Source organism: Homo sapiens, chromosome 11 (assembly GCF_000001405.40).
Source record: "Homo sapiens chromosome 11, GRCh38.p14 Primary Assembly".
In the NCBI taxonomy this organism is placed as follows: Eukaryota; Metazoa; Chordata; class Mammalia; order Primates; family Hominidae; genus Homo; species Homo sapiens.
In genome coordinates this window covers 40,989,189-41,011,787 of record NC_000011.10, presented here as the reverse complement: position 1 = coordinate 41,011,787, position 22,599 = coordinate 40,989,189, and the positions used below count along the sequence as shown (strand labels likewise).

Genomic DNA, 22,599 nt, shown 5'->3' with positions numbered 1-22,599 from the left:
AAACTAGAGATTTTCAGGAATTAATGACCCACAAAGGCTACATAGCTTGTAAATGATGGAGTCTAGATAGAAACCCGGGCTTAGTGACTCCATAACCATTACTTCACTCACTATGTCTCAGGGGGCAATTTGGAGTACGTGGCCAGTTGCCCTGAGACACTAGAAATGTACCCATGTTGCATAATATTTCTATAATAACCATACACCCTTTGTTAAAGGGCAGGTTAAGAGCAAGTACTGTTTTATCTTTTCAAACTAACACGATTTTATTTACTTTATAGTGCAAATAACAAAAACAGAAAATAAAGTAGAATAAAAGTTGCAGAATCCATTTTAATAATTTTCATTGGATTGAAAGACCCAACCAGCTACAAAACACTAGAACAATTAGTATTCATATTTAGCTGACCATTAGCAGAAGATGTACTATATATTTGATCCATTTTTATTCATATCTGAAGAAAGCCTAATCTTGGAGTTTCAGATTAACTTGAAAAAAATAACATTATAGTGAATAATGGTGTTAGCCCCCATTAGGTAAATATCTATGAAGTAGTAGTGATAATGATGATGATGGTGATGATCATGAAAACAACAGCAACATTAATAAAAATTTGTTGTATATCATGTTATATAGTTTACAATTCAACTTCAGATATTTCCTCTGGTTGGATATCTATGGAATAGGAGCGATGTAAATTGTAGTTATAGTTTATAAAATGTAGTTACTCTTATAGTGTATATACCCAAAGAGGTCAAATGACTTGTTCAAGCCAGTAACAGCCAGACAGAGGGCTGAAACATTAGACTTCTAATTGTCCATTTTATGTTATTTTTATGAGACCTTCCTTTGGGCTCCAATATTTTCAATCCTTACATCTGACAAAGTAAGAGCATCCAAGACTCATTTGGCAAGTTTATGTTTCATTTCCAAGAGTCAACCTGTTACTGAATTTGCAATATGTTCACTGGATTCCTGCACAGGTAGCAGCCACAGACATAGCCATGTGCTGATAGCAATGGGGCAGGAAAGTCCTGATTCTCAGTGGAGGACTCAACTCTTAAGGAAGTTGCCACCATTTATTTACTTTCTAATCTCTCTCAAAAATATGATTTCACTTGCTTAGCCTAGACTGAGCCACAGTATGGCCAACATAGGACCTTATAAAGCAGTAGTTAAGCCTCTTTTGGAGAACTTCTCAGGCACAGCATTGTTTCACAGCATGTTATCCTTCTGGCTACATCCTTTGTTGCCAAGTCAACTCCACTTTCTTGCTCTATTTACACAAAATTATCCAAGGGCTTTGCCTGTGTATAAAAGTATTCTCAGTTCAGCATTTGAATGCCTGGTATATTTTCACTGCTTATTTTAAGATGCTATGTTTTAAAATGATTTTTTTAATCTAAACAGAAAACGCGAATTATGAAAGCAAGATGACATCATAAAATTCATTTAATTTAAAAAACAAAGTACTCAAAAGACTGCATGGCCTAGAAAGGCAGCAAAGGTGACTAACAAGTATCAACTGGATATTGGAATTGTGTTAATTTCCTAGAGCTGCTATAACAAAGTACCAAATACTGGGTGGCTTAAAATAACATAAATGTGTTATTTCAAGTTTCTGGAGGTTAGAAGTCTGTAATCACGTGTCATTAGGGCCATGCTTTCTCTGACAGCTTTGGGGAACATCCTTCCTTGACTCTTCTAGCTTCTGGTGTTTGCTGACAATTTTTGGCATTCTTTGTCTTATAGTCACATGACTTTCTCCCTCTGTGTCTTCACATCATCTTGCCTCTTTGCATTTCTGTCTCTGTGTCAAAATTCCCCCCTTTTTATTTAGACACCACTTAGTGAATTAGAGTCCACCCTAATGGCCTCATTATAAATTGATTACGTTTGTTAAAACCTTATTTCTATACAAATTCACATTTTGAAGTCCTGGGGATTAGGACTACTTCAACATATCTTTTTTGGGGGAACACAATTCAACCCATAATAGAGATAAACTGGAAAATGTGTAGCCTCTCCAAAAGGGTAGTAGTCACCCAGTTATAGTCTATGGCTCTGATCTGAAACTTTCTGATTTTTTAAAGAGAAACTATGTATTTTATGCAAAATATATGTAAGTGATTCAGCTTGTTTTATGATAGCTAAACTAAGCATGCCTGAGGGTCTGACTGAGGCTTCTGCAGGCACCCAGATTCTCTGATTTTTTTTTCTTGAATTTGTCAATTTATACATGAGAACTATAACCTCAATAGGCTATATGATTTGCCTGTGGCTACACAACTGTTAATGGGAGAGCAAAGCTCACAACCTCTTGCTCCTAATTTTGTTTTCTTCGAACAAAACATCAGTGTCTCTAATCCATTCTTGCTTCATTCGCTGTCAGTCTTCTTTTCAGCATTTAGTTACCATCTCAGATCCAATATGTTTAGAGAATTCTTTCTTTAACTTCTTCCCTAATTTTACTAGATAATGATACTCGAAAAATTTACACACATTGTTTTGGATATATATATTCAAAACATATATATATATTCAAAATATATATGTTTTAAACATTTTGAATAAATATATTCAAAACAATGTCAAATTTACTACATATATCAGAAAATATGTGTGTGTGATCAAAACAAAGAAGCTATTTAGCTTTCCAAATATCTATCTAAATCAGATAAATTTAAAAAGAATTCTTCTCTTGCTATTTGGCTATACCATTTTTCTTTCTTTCAATGTCTTTAAAAGTTGGCGTTATCTTTCATATAAATTTTTAAATTCTACTTTCTGTTGAGATTTTCCCCTTTTTAAAAATAGTTCAATTGAAGAAGACACAAATGCATAATTTATATCATTAAAAAGGCAAATCATACCCAGAATTAGTATCCTGAGGTTACTGTGAAGAGGATTTGGAAATGATGGGGGAGCCATAAAGGAGTTTTTGAATCTTAATGCCTCCAATTAAAAATAAAATAAAAAGGAACTAGGGCAGAAAAACCCAATACTTAAGAAAATTTACCACCCAACTAAGTGACAAACTAGACTCCAAATCCTAAATACAAGTTGGTATAAGTAAACCACTGGCAGATACAAAACCTCTGTGGTGTCTTCAAGGTGGGAGGAAGGAAAGGATGATAATAGCATATCTGTTAATGGTGCTGAGATTAGGAAAACCACTCAAACTCATCACAAAAGACTCTTTGGAAACATGGTGGGCCAACCTGAGAACAGCAGTTAAAACTGAGAAGGAGGTCTGCAGAATACAAGTGTGAGTGAGTGGACCATGATGGAATCAGTATGGGCTGTAAATTCTGAAAATTCAACAAATCGAACTAGCTCTCTTTAGTATCAATCTGTTACCAGATTACTGTGTACCCTGTAGCAAATTTTCTATGAACTTGCAAGGAAGAGTGGTAGGCGTTAAAGTCAGAGAGACGGGGGACAGATAATGTAGGGTTTTGTAGGCCAGTTAAAGAGTTAGGGTGGTTCTAAATGTAATGGAACAATGTTAGAGGATTTTAGGCAAGAAGTAACATTTATGTCTAAAAACATCACTTTACCTGTTGTATGTGGTATGGATTGTAGAGAAAGCAAAGAAGAAGAAAAGCATTTGAGGCAAAAGTCTAGGGAAGAGGCTGGTGGCTTGGAATTGGGTATGATTACTGAAAAGACACTCAAGTGGGCTACTCTTAGGTATGTTTTGGCAATAGTACTTGCTAATTGATTGGAAATGAAGTATGAAAGAATATGGAATATTGGAATACGAAAGAAAATGGAAGAATATGGAATACTGGGATATGAAAGAAAATGGAATATGAAAGAATAAGATGGAGATTGGATTTAAGTAACAAGATGGATAGTGCTGCTAATTATTGGAACCAGAAAGTCATCATCAGAGTAGGCTTTGGGAAGTAGGCGGACAGACACTAAGCATTCTGTAATAGCTGTATTAAGTTGGATATGAACCTTGAGTTCAGGAAGAGATTATGACTAGATGTCTAAATTTCAGAGTAATCAACACATAGATGGGTTAAATATTTTGTTTTTACACAAAATGGTGACAATGGCTAAATAATGTTCTACATTTTTAAAAATCTATTTAGAAAGCCTTTTTAAAAACAATATCACCATTATACATCACCTGTTCAATGACATCATGGATTTGCCTTGTATTCTGCTGATGGACACTTACTTGGCTACCACGGTCATCTTTGTACATATATCTCTGCATATGTGTGGGTGTTCATCTATAGGAGAAATTCCTAGAAGTGGTATTGCTACATTCAAACATATGTGCATTAAAATTTTGATAGATATTGCCAAATACTCTCCAGAACAATATATAAAAATGTCTGTTTCCTCACATTCTTGCCAAATTGTATAATCCTTGGCAATCTGAAAAGTTTAAAAAAAAAAGAAAGCATTTTTGTTGTTTAATTTGCATTTTACAGAATAATTAGTGAGTTTGAGCATCTATTCATATGGTTTTAAGCTATTTCAATGTCCTTTTCTGTAAATTAAACTGCCTGTTTATCCTTTGCCTATTTTTCCATTGAGCTATTGTTTTTTTCTAGATTTTTGATTCTCTCTCGATGGAACGTAATATAAATATTTTCTAGATTTTTACTTGTTTTTGAACTTTTGCATTTTTTGGCAACAGGGTTTTTGAAACATATTTTTAAATGTAAGTTTGTGACTAATGTGATCATAGTCATCTATTCAAAATGACAACACTAGAGATGAAGTTATGAAAGTGGTAGGAGTTAATATATTCAGCTCTCATTCTACTGATTTGCTCAGTGCCTTTGGGGCAATCATTTAATCATATGCTTTCGTTTCTACCTTGTAAGATGAAAAATCACAATCTTTTTCTTACCTTTGAGGATTTCTTTAAGAAGAAATCTATGAATAAATATAAAAACACTATTCTGGATGTTAAATACTGTGAAAATATGAATTTGTGCATGTTAGGTAGGTTTGATAACATTGAATATAAGACATTGCAAAATACAAAGAATTTCCAGTGTTATTTAATCCTTGAAGCTTTTTCTTTCTCTAGTCTCTCTCTTTTGGTCTTTCTACTTTTCCCCCTTCTTTTTCTCTGCCTCTTCTTTCTCCTTTTCCTTTATTGTCTTGTTACATGGGACAATATTTCTATTTGCCATTATTCTGATGGAGAACTGAAATACACACTAAGCTAGACAAATATGTAAGATTATAAAGAAAATGAAGGCCTAGTCATCACTAGAGGCTCTGTCCTCTGTGTCCTTTTCAAATGACATCTGCTTGAAAGTTAAACATGCTAATGAATTATGGTAGCTAATTGGGGAGTGGCCAATAGAGATGAATAGATGAGAGATGTATTCCTAACTTTGTGAAATGGCCAAATTATGTGGTTGCCACAGCACTGGGGTAAGACTCTGCAACTCTGACAGCCAGCTCAAATTATCTTACTAACTAGCTTTAGATTAGTGATTTATAAAGCTGTCTTCTTATAAAATAAATGTTACAGCAATTACTTAATTTAAAACTGAAGCAATCAGAAGAATGTAGCTGTTTGAATGAGTGAAAAAGTAAACTCACATTGGGATTATGAATGACACACTCAGTCATAGCTTTCATGGATGCATAAAAACCAAATATGTCAACACCACTAAATTTTGCAGAATGCTTAAAGCATTTTTTTGTGTGTGAAACATATGTTGAAAATTCTTCTTCTAATTGTTTTTCAAAATTTTCTGGCTAAGATATAAAATTGTGTGACTAGTTTACTTTAAATAACTGAGAAGGAAGGAAGGAAGAGAGGAAGGGAGGAAGGGAGAAAGGGAGGGAGGGAGGAAATTTCACAGTCCAGTCTCTACTCTGTACCTGAAGGGACCAGGAAACATTATTAAGAAGTGTTTTCTCTCACACTAGGAAATGTATCTGTGTTAGTCTGTTTGTGTTGCCATAAAGGAATACTTGAGACTGGGCAATTTATTTTAAAAAGTTTATTTGGCTAGTTCTTCTGCAGGCTGTACACTAAATATAGTACAAATATCTGCTTCTAGTGAGGGCCTCAGGAAACTTGCAATAATGGCAGGAGGCAAAGGGAAGCCAGCAGGTCACATTGCGAGAGAGAGAGAGCAAGACAGAGAGTGAGAGGCGCCAGGGGCAGCTTTTTTTATTTTTATTTTTATTTTTGAGATGGAGTCTCACTCTGTCACCCAGGCTGGAGTGCAGTGGCATGATATCGGCTCACTGCAACCTCCACCTCCCGGGTTCAAGCAATTCTCTTGCCTCAGCCTCCCGAGCAGCTGGGATTACAGGCATGTGCCACCACGCCCGGCTAATTTTTGTATTTTTAGTAGAGACTGGGTGTCACTATGTTGCTCAGGCTGGTCTCAAACTCCTGATCTTAAGCGATCCACCCACCTTGGCCTCCCAAAGTGCTGGGATTATAGGCATGAGCCATCACGCCCAGCCAGGGGCGGCTCCTTTTTAAACAACCAGATCTTGCATGAACTTGTTACTGAAGGGAGGGTACTTCATGAGGCATCTGCCCCCATGCTTCAAACACCTCCCACCAGGCCCCACTTCCAACACTGGGGATTACATTTCAACATGAGATTTGGAGGGGATAAATGTCCAAACCATATCAGTAGGCATATGATGTGCATGTGAATCTATAAATACAAACATCACATCAGGGGGAGGGAGGTGCCAGCCAGATTTCTAACACTCATTTTAAGTGGTTTCATGTTATCTGACTGACTATAGAATCCTGAATTCTGTAATAATTATAATAATAATAATGAAAGTTATAAAAACAACAACAGAAAAACTGAAGAACTAAGCTGATTTTCCCAGCATTTTTTTCTGTTTTCTAACCATCTTTTAGCATCCATGATAGTTAGGATTGCATGGTTAAAATGCCACGTGATTTTAATAAGAGCCATTGGTAGTGTATACCTCCGGGGCTTCAAAATTCATACATTTAATTCTCTGTTTAATTTTTTTTTTCTGTGACACAGCCTCAGGAGGTCCTGAGAACATGTGCCCCCTCTGCTTTATTTTGTCAAGAAATACACAAAGTAATTTATGTGAATGAACACTGATGCATTCATCCATTCACTCATTGTTTACCTACAATAAGTCAACTACTGTGCTATGTAGGTCATGGTGATGTGAAATTGAATAAAGCATAGAGCATTCTCTAGAAGAATATATCATCTAAGAAAAGAGATAGTTACATACGTAAATTTTTACATTTAAGGCAATCAATCTAATGTGTTAGATGGTAGCATTTTTATTCTTTTAGCCTATTTTAGGAATCATGCATTTTTGTAGAAATTTTAACCCTTTCTCATGTATCTCTGGCATGGTGGTGTGACAGGGCAGAGGGAAAAAGATGGATGCTGATAATGTTGATGTACTTCCTACCAACCAAAAAAAGACAGATGGTCTTGTTATAGCAAAAGTTCAGGAAAGATGGAAGGCAGGTCATAATGAAAACTAGCAACAGATACAGGGGCCATTAAATTTGATGCTTGTAACATTGCTTGCTATGAATTTGAAACTGCCTAAGACCGGGAGTAAGTCTTGAGGACATTGAAAAGAGGACATTGCTAAATGTGACAAGTTCCCTCCCTAATGTATTTTTTAGCTAGTCTGATGTGCCAACCTACCACAGGCCTATTGACAATAGAAGTGAACAATGGGGTGTTCATGCCTCTTTGTAACCATAGCCTCTCAAAGAAAACTTCCTGTTTTCTATCCACTGGGCCGTTTTGTCTTCTCTTTGTCCTTGACACTTGTCCCCATTTTCTGCCCATAAGCACACTCTTTCTTTATTCACTAGACTTTGGAATGTGACCTTTGGAGTTCTCACTCTTTCAAGGATTCTGCTCAGCTTTATTCTATTGGCTCTTTTCAATCAGGAATCTCATGCATAAAACACCCTGATGTAAGGTACCCCTCAGAGCCAGGCAGACCTGCTTGGTCTTCAGCAAAAGAAAGGAAATGTATTTGGATTGCCAAGGGCACTGCAAATTGTGCACAGTGAATAATACTCTAAAGTATTTATGAAGGCATACCAGATGACCTCATGATGTCTCTTCTCTCCCTTGAAACTATTCACAAACCTAAAAATGTATAAATATTTTTCCTTCATGTTTTGTCTCTGTCTTTATGCATTTAGTGAAGCATATCAGAGGAATTGGATATGGGAAAAAATAGTGCCTTTTTATCTTGTCAATCCCTCAGCATAATTGTCGGTTGACATAATCTCAAATGGATCTCAAATAACCTTGTTGTAGCCTCCATACCGTATTCCCCAAGGTATCTGTGAATGTAGCATTTCCAAAAGAGGCAAAGTCTGAATGTCCTTTATTTCCCTTTCTTTATATGAATACTATCTTGTTAACATTTAGTATGTTATTTGAATTATAGTCATACCTGCCTCCATGTCTGTCTTGTATTTTTCCTTTTTCCTTCAACCAAGATCTTGCTTTACTTTACATATAGACATTTTTGCTTTCATTAAATTGAATTATGATTACTCCCTTTGAAAAAATGGTATTTAAAAATTAAAGAAATATCAAGAAAACATTTTTTCAGAACTGTATTTTACTTTTTAACTTGTATAATGGTGCTTTTATTTAGTTTACAGTTCTCATGTTAAAAATTACAACTTCATTGGCAAAATAATCATCTTTTGCATATTGTTTTGTTTTATATTTGTCACTTTTCAATGTTTTCATCGGAGAAGTAATATATTTAACTATGATAACTATACACATACATAACTATAATGTAACATAAATATTACACATGTATAATGTATAACAGAATACATTATACATAACTACAATGTAACATTTCAAATGAATATTTTAAAGTACCACCTTGCATTTGTTTTTCTATGCATATTTTAAAAGGTATAACCATCAAAGGCGTATGCTTTATCTTCTGCTTTTTTCACTTAACACATATCCTGAGCATTTCTCCATACTACCATGTGGCTGTCATACACACTGCATATTGACTTTCTACTTTTCTTCTGTGATGCTAGATGGTCATGAGGCTTACTTTGAACATAAATCACTTATCCATGCACTGAAATATTAAGGCATGCTACTACTCAAAACTACTAAATTGTTAAATTGCTCAGCATGAATAAAATACAATGCCATTATTTGTAATTCTGGCCTTAATTTGGTGATTTTTAGCTCTTTCTCACTACCTACCATGTAATGAGAAGCTCTTGATAAAGTTGGTAGCAAAAACAGAGATACAAGTGTGGGACATATGATGCTGTCTGATGACTGCCCAGAAACACAGCCTCTTCTTAGAAACCTGGCTTCCCTTGAGATTTGCTCTAATTTTAATAGGAGCTGCTCAGCAGAAGGATGTGGATCCAATGGCAAGATGGATGATGGGTAATTTGAGAACAACACTCAGAGAGCTCTGTGTCAACCTATGTTAACACAATGGCCTTAAGTTTATTAAAACAAAAAACCATTGGCAAGGTAGGGACCACCAAATTAGTCACTTCTCAATATAAGTTTATGGATTGCTTACATGCATAGTCCTCTTTACTCCATGAGACTCCATCAGAGGTCTGTTACTTAAATTGAAATTGTTTATTGGATAACAACTGTTAAATTATTTGTCTTTAATATTTAACTTCAGCATATACAAAAAAGGGGTTTCGAAGAAGAATTAAGGTAAATCTCCACTGCCCTTCCAAGAATTTGTACAAATGCTTTCTGATTATGGAAAAACTAAAATAAAGAGGAAAAAAACTCCCTAAATAAATCTAGGCAGTTGCCTGACTCCCTCGTTTAATGTAACCACATGTTTAGTAAAGGACAATTTATCTCAGTAACATAAATATCTACAGTGTCGGTAGGAATCCTGGATGGTACAAAAAAAAAAAAAAATGTCACAGACCATCAGAAGAAAGCTGAGCCCATTGACCTGAAAGTTTTGAACCTTGGAATGAGATTCAAATAGGGCATTGCCTAATCCATGTTCAAGGTGAAGAGTAGCCAAGCTAAGCTATGCTAAATCATCTCATCAATAAACGAGGTCTTTTCCAGAAATTTAATTTCACTTGATTAATATCTTGGGTCAACTAAGGGTTGCGTTAAAATTCAGCAGATATTTGCAATGTGGGTGGATTTTTTTTTTTAATTATGTAGAGTTCTCTTAGCTTGTCAGACAAAACAGACCAGATTTAAGACAGGCTGAGAAGAGTATGCCATGTTCAGAGACTTTCAAATGTGGTCTCACAGGGATCCTGATAGTCTGGAACTCTATCATGTTTCTCTATTAACTTCACTTGTCACCAACTCCCTTATTTGCATGTCTTAAGAAGATAAGATGTTTATTTATGTAGACTGAAAGAAGAGAGAACAAGATATTGCACAAAAGGATTTGGTTAGAAATTTAACTGATTTATGGCAATGGTCTCCTTCTTGCTCGATCTTAAGACATGATTCATTTTTCTGAGGAATCCTTCACTGAAAAGGGGAAACCGATACTGGACACTGGAGACTCCCAGGTTTTGAAGGCCAAGAGATAGGTCAATTCTAGTTAAAAATTGTGGTACCTATATGATCTTTGTAGCACCTCAGAGTGTCAATATTACCAATTGTGATTTATCTTTTTTTTAATCAGTCAAAAATATTAATTGGGCACCTCCTTTGTACCAGGTATTATACCAACTACTGTAAATTTAGCAATAAAATAACTCTGTCTTTCATATAATTTATTTTTCTATACTTTTAGATTACTACGCTGATTAACTGATGGCATATATTTAAATCTTTTAGCACAGTCCTTGGCACAGAGTAATTGCTCAATAAATGTTAATTTTCCCTATTTCTCCAATATACTATTTTTTCAAAATTCCAAAATAAACATCTCAATGCACTATGGGACTTTGGCACATTTCGACTTATCTTCTCTCTGCCAAAAGTAGGCTTACTAAATTATAGACAAGATTAGTACTGTCCATTTTAAATATAATATCCACTACCCATTCATTACAATCTCAAATGCCTACGCTGGCCAGTCGGGGAGACGAATGAGTAAAGCAAGTTAAAGTAAAACTGGCAACAGTGAGGGCTGAGCAGCCAGTAGGATGCATGTCCAATCCATAGGGTGCTCCAGCCAATTGTTGCCATGTCGATCAATAGGCCCAGTGTTGTCATAAGACCTAACTTCACAAGGGAACTAGGAAAATAATTTTATTATGTAAAATTTTTACATTATGAAGTAGAGGTAACTAATTAATAAACATATACAAGCACACACATACACACACATGCCCATGCAGAGAGAATATACCGATTCTGTGTACATCCAGTAAAACCAATCTATGGGCCACATATTTGTGACCTCTATTCTAATAGGCATTTTGTTTATTTACTTACCTAGAGAATTGATAATAATTAAACATGGATTATAACATATTTTCTCCCTTCCTGTAAGCCTTTCAAAATCTTTTCATTCTCCGCATGGGATGACTGTCAACTCTAATGAGTATCACAATTATGTCTGGAGTTTTTCAAAATATATTCCTGGAACTCAAGCCCCACTTATTAATTAGAATCTTTGTAATTGTAATGAAATAATCTGTTGTTTTAAAATACTCAACCAAATTATTCTGATGATGAGCGAGGCATGGGAACTATGAGCCTACAGAATAATTTTTTTAATTGTTTTTTTCTTTAGCATGCAAGGTTTTTTACAACCTTCTCTTTTCTGTTCCATAGCTTAATGTTTTCTCACCCTTGTTCTCCAGCCATTCTATGCTGCTTGCATTTCCATGAAGGTAACATTATTTTCATGCTGGATGTGTCTGCATGTAGCGTCCTCTTTGTTGCCTTTCTCCCTTCTGTCACAGGAAACTCTTATTCATCTTTCAAGCACCAGGTCCAATGTTACCTCTTTTCCAATGCCTTTCACGCTCTGCTAGGGAAACTCGGGTATTCCTTATTTTGTGCTTCCAAAAAACTTTAGGCTTACCTAAGTAAATGATACTTGCCATGATATATTTTCATTGCTTGTTGCCATGTGTTTTCTCACTCACATAGTGTCCAGCATATGGCAGGTTTCTAGCCAATATTTTGATTTAAAAAAAATATTGATCTGAATATAGAGTAGCAAATGTAGTACTTTTGATTTATTCTTAACTAAATTATTATTTCACCATCCTATGGGACGGTTGTTCCCTTAAGAAAAAAGAGTGAATCAGAGCCCATGTTTTAGGCACTTAATTTGCAGAGCTTAGTTTTTAAATAATGGTTTTGCATATTAATATTTGAGCTAAGACAAAAACAAATAATTTATGTTAGAAATTATTTTTAAAGAATTCTGCCATCACTTTGGAAATACATAATTTTGGAAATGCTACAAATTACAGACTGTCCGTAGTAGAGTTTTAATTTTTTTAAAATGTGGATACCTTTGTCAAAGTTTCCATCTCAATTTAAGTGTGCCATGCTTAGGAGTTAGAAATCTCTACAGAGGTGGGGGCTAGACACAGTGTGAGCGAGGTGTGCAGGGAATCCTGTTCAGCAAACTAATACCAGGAGACATTTACAGTCTGTAACAGTGGCCAGAGACTCAGACAGCTTTATTGACGTGTCATCAGGCTGAGAAGAAAAGGCACCGCAGCAGGGGTGACAAGGACATGTTCTGTGTGTTCATCGATCTGCAGTCTCCTATGGAAAACTCCACATGTTTCTGAATACCTTAAGTGATTTTATTGATGCAACTCCTGCCAGCTGAGAGGGGAATTGGAGTCACCACATTTATTCTTCATGTCATGTTGGCACTCTCATTTAAGAATTTAATACATACATAGATGATGCGGGAAAGGAGGGAGATATTAAGTATCTCTTCAAATCATTTGGGTTGGGTTGCTGGGGAAAATTACAACGCCCCAGAAATCCAAAAGAAGTATAAAAATCTCTCCTCAGTACATTATATGTGGCTGCTATAATGGCATTTCTGCAATCCTTTGTTACTGAAATCCTCTACTGCAGCAGGTGATGAATTTTGACCTGGGGAGCTAGTCAGTGGAGCAAAACTGTTGTCCAAAAAGATGATACAGAAAGCTGATAGAATTTGAATGCGTGTCTAGTTTGTGATTGGGTATGTTCATGGAGCAGTTGAATTAGGACATATCAGTAGATCATAGAGTCATAGGCCTAATCAGGACTTTGAATAATTATGTAATCCATTTTCCTGTCTCCAAAGAGGAAAATCCTTATATTGCATGGAGAAAATAACAAAATAAAACCCCAGAGATGTATAAATCCATAAAGTGCAGTCAAGTTGGGTATCAATTTTAATTTTTTTTACAGTCTGAGATTTTTTATTAGATCCCAGATTTAGAACTGTATATTAGAATGGCATTATTGTGACAATTTTTTAATCCTAACATCTCTAGATTAGATAATGATATTTCACCAATGTCACATTTCCTGAGTGAGACTGTGGTTACATGGAAGAATGTCCTTTTTTTTTTTTTAAGTTCTGGGATACATGTGCAGAATGTGCAGATCAATTTTAATATTTTTAAAAAATATATACATATTTGTTTATAATTCCCTTGTATCAAATACTAGGTTCAGAATTAGTTTCTTACAGTAACAATAAATTTAGAATTTATTGAAACCTGAATTCAGAAAACCTGAATCTGGTTTTCGACCTCTCTTTTCTGCAGTATACTTTATCATTAATTCATCAGTTATTTCAGTCAACATTCTATATGCCCAGCTACGATGCTAGGAGTAATGTTCTCAAAGCAGTCATCATGGTTTAATGGAAAACTAAGTCAATATTTATTCAGATTATTTGGACAGCTCAAAGAAACACCTACTCCAACCTGTGTTAGGGTTAGTAAGGATGTGAGAAACCTTAAAAAGGCTCCTTGAAGGTGAATAACTGCAAGTTTGTATATTAATATACATCTCACAACACATCTTAGTAAATCTTTATAACCATTGGTGACAGTGGAACAGCCCTCCCTGTTCTCATCTAGAAGGCTCTCCTCATCCTACATGCTACAGACCTACACATCATTCCTTGCTTATTTTTTTGGAATCATACCTTGCTTCCTTTTACCTAATGAAAAACAAAGACAAAAACAAACAAACAAAATACTCCTTTATTGACCCTTTGCCCACCTCTAGATGTAACCCAAACTATCACCTTTTCTTCACAACTAACTTTTTCAAAATAATTGCATACCTTTCCTTCATTCTTCACCTTATTGATAATCTGATTTCTATCCCTATTAATCCTCTGGAAGAGCTCTGAAAAAGATCACTTATGCACTTCAAGGAGCTATTGAGTCATTTTCTCTTTTGACGTCTCTGCAACATCTGACATCTTTGGCTACTCTCTAACTCAGGAAACTTTCTCTTCCTTTGGCTTCAGAAGTGCCTCTCTCATCATTCTCCTGTGGTTATGTCCCTTTACTGTCTCTTATAGTTTTCCTTCTTTTCACTCATATTATAGGTAATGGTAATCTCTGGAGTTCCATTTGTATCCTCATCTCTTCTCTCTCTTATTTTTCTTCTCACAGTATATACTCTCTTATTTATTGATTTGTTCAACTTCCAGTTTTTCAACTATCCCTAATATTTTCATAATTCACAAATCTCTATTATCCACACAGATATCATTGCAGAACTAAACCCTGACATCAAAATTTTATGTTGCATATCTTCACTTATGTATATACCATAAGCCTCTGCAACTCAGCAGGCCTAACACCGAACTTTATACCCCACTTGGGGTGATATAGTTTGGATATTCATCCCCTCCAATGTTGAAAAAAAGTTTGATCTCCAGTGTTGGAGGTGGGGCCTAGTAGCATATGTTTGGCTCATGGGGACGGATCCCTCATGAATAGTTTGGTGCTGTACTCACAGTAATTAGTGAGTTATTGCTCTATTAGTTTATGAGAGAGCTGGCCATTTTAAAAAGTCTGGTACTCCCTCTCCTCTTTTGCTCTGTCACTGACCATGTGACACTCCTGTTCCCCCTTTGCCATTTGTCATAAGTGTAAGCTTCCTAAGGCCCGCACCAGAAGCAGATGCTGGCACCATGCTTCTTGTACACTCTGCAGAACCATGAGCCAAATAAACCTCTTTCCTTTATAAATTACTTAACCTCAGGTATTTCTTTATAGCAACATAAAATGACTGACACATGTGGCCAACCTCTACTACAGGTCCTATCTATCCAAGGAATAGTACCATCAATTATCTTTTGTTTGTCAGACATAATTATTTCATCTCCTTCCAAAAGCACATCACATTATCTGTTGATTTTAGCTCCTTGATATTTGCCTACAGATAAGAACCATCAGTGAGTATTTCTAAAACCTTGACAATTTTTTTCTCATTAGTTTTATTTTTTTTAAGGCAGTGAAAAACCTGAAAATAGCTAGAATCACAAAGAGAACTGCTGGGCTAGGACCATGCCTGGGACAAGAGCAGAGAAAATTAGGGTCCATTGTCAGCACATGTGTAGAGTAAGTAAGTCTGCTACCCAGCCTCACAGTCATTCCTCTCTTATCTGCCTAATGCCTCTGATGCTCATTAACATAAAGAAAACAAATTTCATTTGGTAACTACAAATTATTTTATTTTGTTGTAACAACAGCATTGCCTGTATTTTCAAAGAATACTTCAGAATCATGAACACAAAGAATATTATTCCTATTGTGGAAATCTCATGAACAGTGGAACTATGTAATAAATTAATTTTAAAAGTGAAGTTTTCTTAGACTTTCTATCCTGTATCAAAAAATATCTAATACTCATATTAGAGTAGACTTTCATTTGATTTAGTCAGTGTTCTTTGGGCAAGAAATTCAGTATGTTGTACAAATCATAGCAGGGATAAACAAAGGTTACTAAAAAATGAATTTGGAGATATAGGCTGGGTCCAGTTGATGGAAAGGGCCTTGCAGACCAATGGTTTGGTATTTGTTCCAAGTGCAGTGAGATGCCTCCTAAGCTTTTTGAAAGCTGAGTTGTAATATAATTCTACCTGCTGGGTGAATTCTGCTTTTATATGAAAGAAAAAAGACAAGAAGCAACATATGATACTCCCTAGTCTTTTTTCTTACATATAAGAACATATAAGAAACACATATGGTATCTAAAATTAGATAGCAATAGACATCAAGGGAAGAAAGTTTGGAAATATGTTTTGAAGTTAGAACTGCCAGCTCTTTTGATGGATTAGACGTGATTAGAAAGGAAAAGAAAAGGATGAAAGATATCTCCTAGGATCTTTGCTTGAGCAAATGGGTGGAAAATAGCACCATTTTCATGGTGATTTAGCCATGTTGTTGGAGATGCCTATTAGGTAGCAAAGTGAAGCTATCTAGTAAGCAGTTGTTCATAATGCATCATTAGTTGTTATATATCCCAGCAGGAGTACCCTAGCCTGTTTAAGCACTTTTATATGAATAAGAACAAGGTATTCCCTCTGGGATGACATAGCTCTGCAGACACAAAGACCCAAAACCAGACAATGCATCATGGTTTATTTTTTAGAAACATTTTGCTGGGCACAAACTGCAAAGTCACACTTGGTTACTCTGATTCCTAGTGTACCTGCTTATATAACATTGACAATCAATCAAGAGAAAAAAATACTCAGTTCTCAAAAACACACATTAAGTTGTTGTTTCTAGAATGTTTTTGAGAAATGTTAGAATGACAACAACAAAGACTTCCAAATCATAGGTATATTCTGTATCAGTCCTCTCTGAATTTCACCTCTGGCCATTTTTGCTGCGTGTCTGTGTAAAGAAGTCACATTTTATGGTTGAGCCAAGTTTCTGGTCCTGTTGATTACATTAGAGAAATTGTGGAGGGGACAATGGGGAAGGACAAGATGCTTAAGAATTAAAGGTCATTGGGGGAAAAGGTTGATGAAGTAGTTAAAAAAAAAGTATAAATAGAGAGAGAAATCTTAAAGAGACAGTAAAGAAAAAACCGGCGAGAGTAAAGGAAAGAGCCCATCCAAGTTGGGATAAAAGGCTTAATATTTTGGCTTTAAAAGATTACTTATAATTATTAGGTAGAAAATTTAGTTGCCATAATATGTAATTTTTGCTTCCTCTGGGATGAGAATTTAGAGAGATGCAGTTTAGGGAAAAACTCAATTTGGATGAATTTCTGGTAGTAGGGGAAATTATATAACATACATCACCAGGGTTTTCAACTATGGGTAGGAGCAAGGTCCAAGTCTAAATTGTGAACCTCCAAGCCAGAAATTCTGAAAGGATCACCGTCACCCTATGTTAATTGCAAATGAACACATCTCTAGCAGAGTGAAGCTCCTACTTCTTTCACATCCCCCATTAGCTACAGTTCAGCCAGTGTTTATGCTTCTAGGTAGAGTATTGCCAACTCTCCGTCAGGGGAATGTCTGAATTGCCAGTTGGCCACAGATATCATGTTGCACCTCACTTTTAGGTAATAGAAATGCTGAGAGAAGAGTGATTGATTTGGATTTATTTGGATTTGAGTAATGCTCCATGGCGCACTCATGAATTTTATGAAAGAAGAACCTCACCTGGATATTGGTAAGATTTCATAATTCTGAAATGCAAAGTGTCACGCCAAAGTGTGTGGATGGCAAATCAATAGTTTTCAAAAAAATTGAGTAACACTCCACTACACATTGAACTCCTTAAAAAAAAAAAAAAAAGTACATTCCAATGGGTCAGAGCAAAAAGGAGCCGAAAGTAACAGTAGTATGCCCCATCCAGTTCCCGTTATCCACAGCAAGGGGATAATAGCTTTTATAATGTGCCAAGGTTCATTGTTTCTTGCTATTGAGATCACTTTGAGCTTTCTTCCCCAGCTTGTGCAAAGACTTCCTACCCTGTCATCCTCAAATTGTTATGTTCCTATGATGCTTTTACATTGTCTCACTGTTGCTGTCTAAGTTTCTAGTATCACTTCCTTGTCAAGGAATTCACTGTTAAATGAACCAAAATGTAAAGTCATTACTTTCTATCTTTTTGTCTCTGGTGACTTGTGTAACACTATGTTTTTCTGTCTGATATTCGCAATAGAAATATTAGATGTCAAAAGGAAAAAAAAAGATGGGAATAATACTGAGAAAGTCCCTGAAGGGGATAAAAACATTCAAACCTGAAATTTTTAACTGTGTCTCCTCTGCCAAAAAGGAAGTGAAAAAGCAATCAAAGGAGTGCCTAAAAAGTTTCAATGCAGGTGTCCTTTCATTAAAACATTTATTTTTAATTTTCTGTTTTGTTATAAGCAGATGACTTCAGCGGGTGTTTTTTTAAAGAACGAACCAAGCAATAACTCCACTAGAACTTTTCTTAATTTTTAAATTAGCATAAATATATTCTATATTATGTGTGGGCCAGTTCAAATATAAATTTCATGGGGTCCTCTAAGATCATCTAACTGAAGTTCATTTATTTGATAATTAAGCAAACTTAAAAACAGAAAAAATTATATGTGCCCAATATTGCACAGTTCAATGAAAGTAGAACAAAAGATATCTCCAAAGTCAGTATTTCCCTCAATAGCCCATTTAAGATGATGCTGCAGTACAACTGCAAAGCACATGAAATGAAATGAAGTATACAAAAGCAATGAAAATATACAAAAAATAACTTGGATTCATAAATACTTAGTCAACTAAAATTATTATTTTATTTTAATTGCCATAGTTCTCTAGTAAGTGTGTTAAATTTCATTCAAGCTTTGTCATGGATCGTTTGTGAGCAGTTAGGACAGAAAATTGTAATTTCCAGCAGCCAAGAAGACTTCTCTAAGGAAAACATAATGACACACTTATTTAATATTCTTCTTATCTAAAGTTCTTGTCTGTACTGGCAGATCAGGATAAAAGGGTTTCTATGGTATGTCAGGATTTCAGAGAGACATTTGACAAAATTGCTCAATATTGTTATGAGGAAGATGGAGAAATAAATATTAAATGAGAATACTAAACAGTAGACCCATAGTTTAATTTTAAATTAATGTCGTAGCAATCTTATAGTTCTTAATGTCTGTCTTGAAAAAGAGGAATTAGCTTTCCTTTTTGTGACTTCAGAGCATGTTACCAGGATCAATGGGGAAAAATCAAACAACGTAATTTCATTGGTTTTAAAATGTAATGAAGTTTCTTAAGAGGTAGTGAATTCTTCATCACTGGATATATTCAGCCAAACAGATAAAAACCTATCTGATAAGGGTCAGGAAAATATAACAGTTCTCAGAATGGCTGATGTTAAGATCCCGCCCTTTACATTCTCAGAAAAATACTGAGAATCCGAAAAAAAAAAACCACTTTTGTTTATGCTTTTGTTTTTATATCAGTCAATAAAATGAAAGTAAGAAATTTAAAAAGTTATTAATTTATATTAAAATAATGATAGTAATTCTATTATATCTTAACATAAATAACATAGTTCATGAAAATACTTATTTTCAATAAAATTTAGTGGGAAGAGTGGCATTATTTTACAGTTGTCTAGTTTAATAGAGGAGACCTGAATTCTCATATATTCTCATCAGTCAGTTCGGATATGTTTTTTATCTGAGATGCTGAAAATGGTCTTCCATTACACAGATATGTGATTTGAAGGGAAGGACAACATTTTAATTGCCTTTTCGGTTAATTGTGGATATGTGATATGTGAAAACTGAACAAGTGGATGTTTTTAAAAGGTTAATTTCAATGTGAAATATGAAAACATACCAATGAGATTTTCATATCTTTTACATCAGGCACCCCCAACCCCTGGGCTATAGACCTATACCAGTTGGTGGCCTCTTAGGAACTGGGTTGCACAGCACCAGTTGGTGGCCTGTTAGGAACTGGGTTGCACAGCAGGAGGTGAGCAGCAGGCAAGCAAGCAGAGCAAAGCTTCATCAGTATTTACAGCCAATTCCCCTCGCTCACATTACAGCCTGAGCTCTGCCTCCTGTCGGACCAGCAGGGGCATTAGATTCTCAAAGGAGCACAAACCCTATCGTGAACTGTGTATACCAGGAATCTGGGTTCTGGTTCCATGCTCCTTATGAGAATCTAATGCCTGATGATCTGTCACTGTCTCCCATCACCCCCAGATGGGACTGTCTAGTGGCAGGAAAACAAGCCCAGGGCTCCCACTGATTCTACATTTTGGTGAATTATATAATTATTTCATTATATATTACAATGTAATAATAGAAATAAAGTGCACAAATAAGTGTAATGTGCTTGAATCATTCTGAAACCACTACCACCAACAGTCACTCCCAGATCTGTGGAAAAATTGTCTTCCATGAAGCTGGCTCCTGATGCCACAAAGGGTGGGGAGCATTGTGTTACATTATAAGGCATTAGCCTAACTTGCCTTTTGATCTTTTACTCATGCCTGATTTTATAACATCATATATTAGTCATTTGGAAAATATTGATTCACTGAGTTATACAGGTTTAAATGTTGACAAATTTTATTATACAGTATTAAAAATCACATTTATTAATGCTGTCACTCATTAGATTTTTTTTTTTTTTTTTTTTTTTTTACATATTGGGAAGCTGCCAGGTTCACTGTGGTGGATACAAGTCTTCCACAATTCTGATTTTTTGCTTTGAAAGATCACATTTTATCATAGTGATAAATAATGTCCATTTTCTTTTTTTTTTTTTTGTAATAGACTCACTTTGTTATTTTCTGAGAAAATGACTGTTGGTAGCCATTTCTGAAAAACCATAGTTGCTATATCAATGATTTCATCAAAGTAAAAATTGTATTCCATAAAAAACAGGAACTAGTCCATCTGACAAATCAACTGTACAATTTTTTTTCAGAAAAAAATCTTTGTACTTCCTTGTATAAAAAAAAGCACTTCTTTTACATTTCATCACACAGAATACTTAAAAAAATGTATATTCAAAGGTCAAACTTTAATCAAATTGACATTTTTTGCTCCTTCATTGCGGCAGTAAAAAAGGCATTGTTTTGCTACCAGTGTATGTATTTGAAATACAGAGACTGCTAATTTAGTTTGTGTTCTTCTCTTGATTTCTGCTAAGGCACCATCAGTTTTATCTACCACTGCTCTATTATATCATCATTGAGAATGTCAACGCAATGTAAAAGGCAAAGAATGTCTTAGTATCATTATGAATATAGTTTTAACCTCATGGGATCCCTAAGAGGATCTAGGGGAACCCTAGTGTTCCATTAATTATGCATTGAGAACCACTGATCCAGTGATTAATGCACAGAGTCTGGATTCAGACTCTTTCAGTTTGAATTCTAGCTGTTCTGCTTAGTTTTGTGAACTTGGGCAAGTTGCACACTTCTAAGCCTATTTCCTCATATATAAAATGGGGCCAAGCATAATAACTATCACATAGGTAGGATAGTTGTGACTATTTAAAGCAAAATGTTATGAACCAAACAGCATCATTACTTGACTTATACATGTGTCAAGAATACTCATATATTCATATATATATATATATATATATATATATATATATATATATATAAAACTTGACATACTATTCAAATATTTTGATAGATTTTATTACTGTGCTGATAGTGGTCCAGTTGTAGTACTGTAAAAGGAAGTTAGGTGTGTGATTTGGACTAGCTAGAAATTACAATCACCCTCAGTATCCTTGGGGGATTAGTTCCAGACCCTCTTACCCTGCAGATACTATAGTCTCTGCATACTCAAGCCCCTTATATAAATAAGATTGTGTAGTATTTGAGTACAGCCTACACACATCCTCCCTTATACTTTAAATCATCTCTAGATTATTTATAATACCTAACACAATATAAATACTATGAAAGAGTTGTTATAATGTATTGTTTTTATCTGCATTTTTTTATTTTTTATTTTTTTCTGAATATTTTTAAACTGCAGTTGGTTTAATCTGTGGATGGGAAGGCAAGGATATGGAGGGCTGACTGTACCTTTAAAACACATTAAATGCTAAGATTCTCTGATTATTTTTGACGTGTGAAAACAACTACCACTGCAAAACTTATAGCTGCAGCAAGAGATATTTTGGGGGGAGGAGATTAAATCTCCCCCACCCACAAAATCAACCCAGATAAATACAACAACTGAGTAAAAATAGTAAGCCTTATTGTGAGATCAACTTCAAGCCTTCCCCTTCTAACCAGAATGTTATGTATAAATCCTTCCTGAATAAATACCTAGTGACATACTCTTACTGTTTTCTAATTTTTTTGCGGTGGAACACAGACGTCAGTGAGGGCTGTAAAATGGGAGTTCCTGGCTTTGACTCCCAGCCTAGCCTCTTATTAGCAGTGGGAATATAGGCATTTTCCTTAACCATGGTGAACAGCAGTTTTTTCATCTGAAAAACGAGAACAGCATTTGCACCTACTTCATGGAGGATGTTTGAGGATTCACATTTTTAAAGTGCCTAGAACAGTGCCTGACACAGAACAGTCATTCAAAAAAGCACTCAAGATACTACTGACAAACTTTAAAATGTCTAATGAGCAATGCATATATTTCATGAAACTGTCCTAGGCTCAAGATATCAAAAATAAA

General features: G+C 35.2%; 1 protein-coding gene across 18 annotated transcripts in view; it reads left to right on the top strand.

The window, feature by feature from the left end:
• The window catches only part of LRRC4C (leucine rich repeat containing 4C), a 1,345,454-nt gene that overhangs the window by 447,865 nt on the left and 874,990 nt on the right, over positions 1 to 22,599 (top strand). Inside the window, exon 1 of one of the 18 annotated variants that reach the window (XM_047427351.1) lies at positions 285 to 17,609. The exons of the other annotated variants lie outside the window; for them this stretch is intronic. The gene's annotated coding sequence lies outside the window, so the exon portion shown is untranslated. Of the gene's footprint in view, positions 1 to 284; positions 17,610 to 22,599 lie in introns of those variants that run through there. 18 annotated transcript variants of the gene reach the window in all.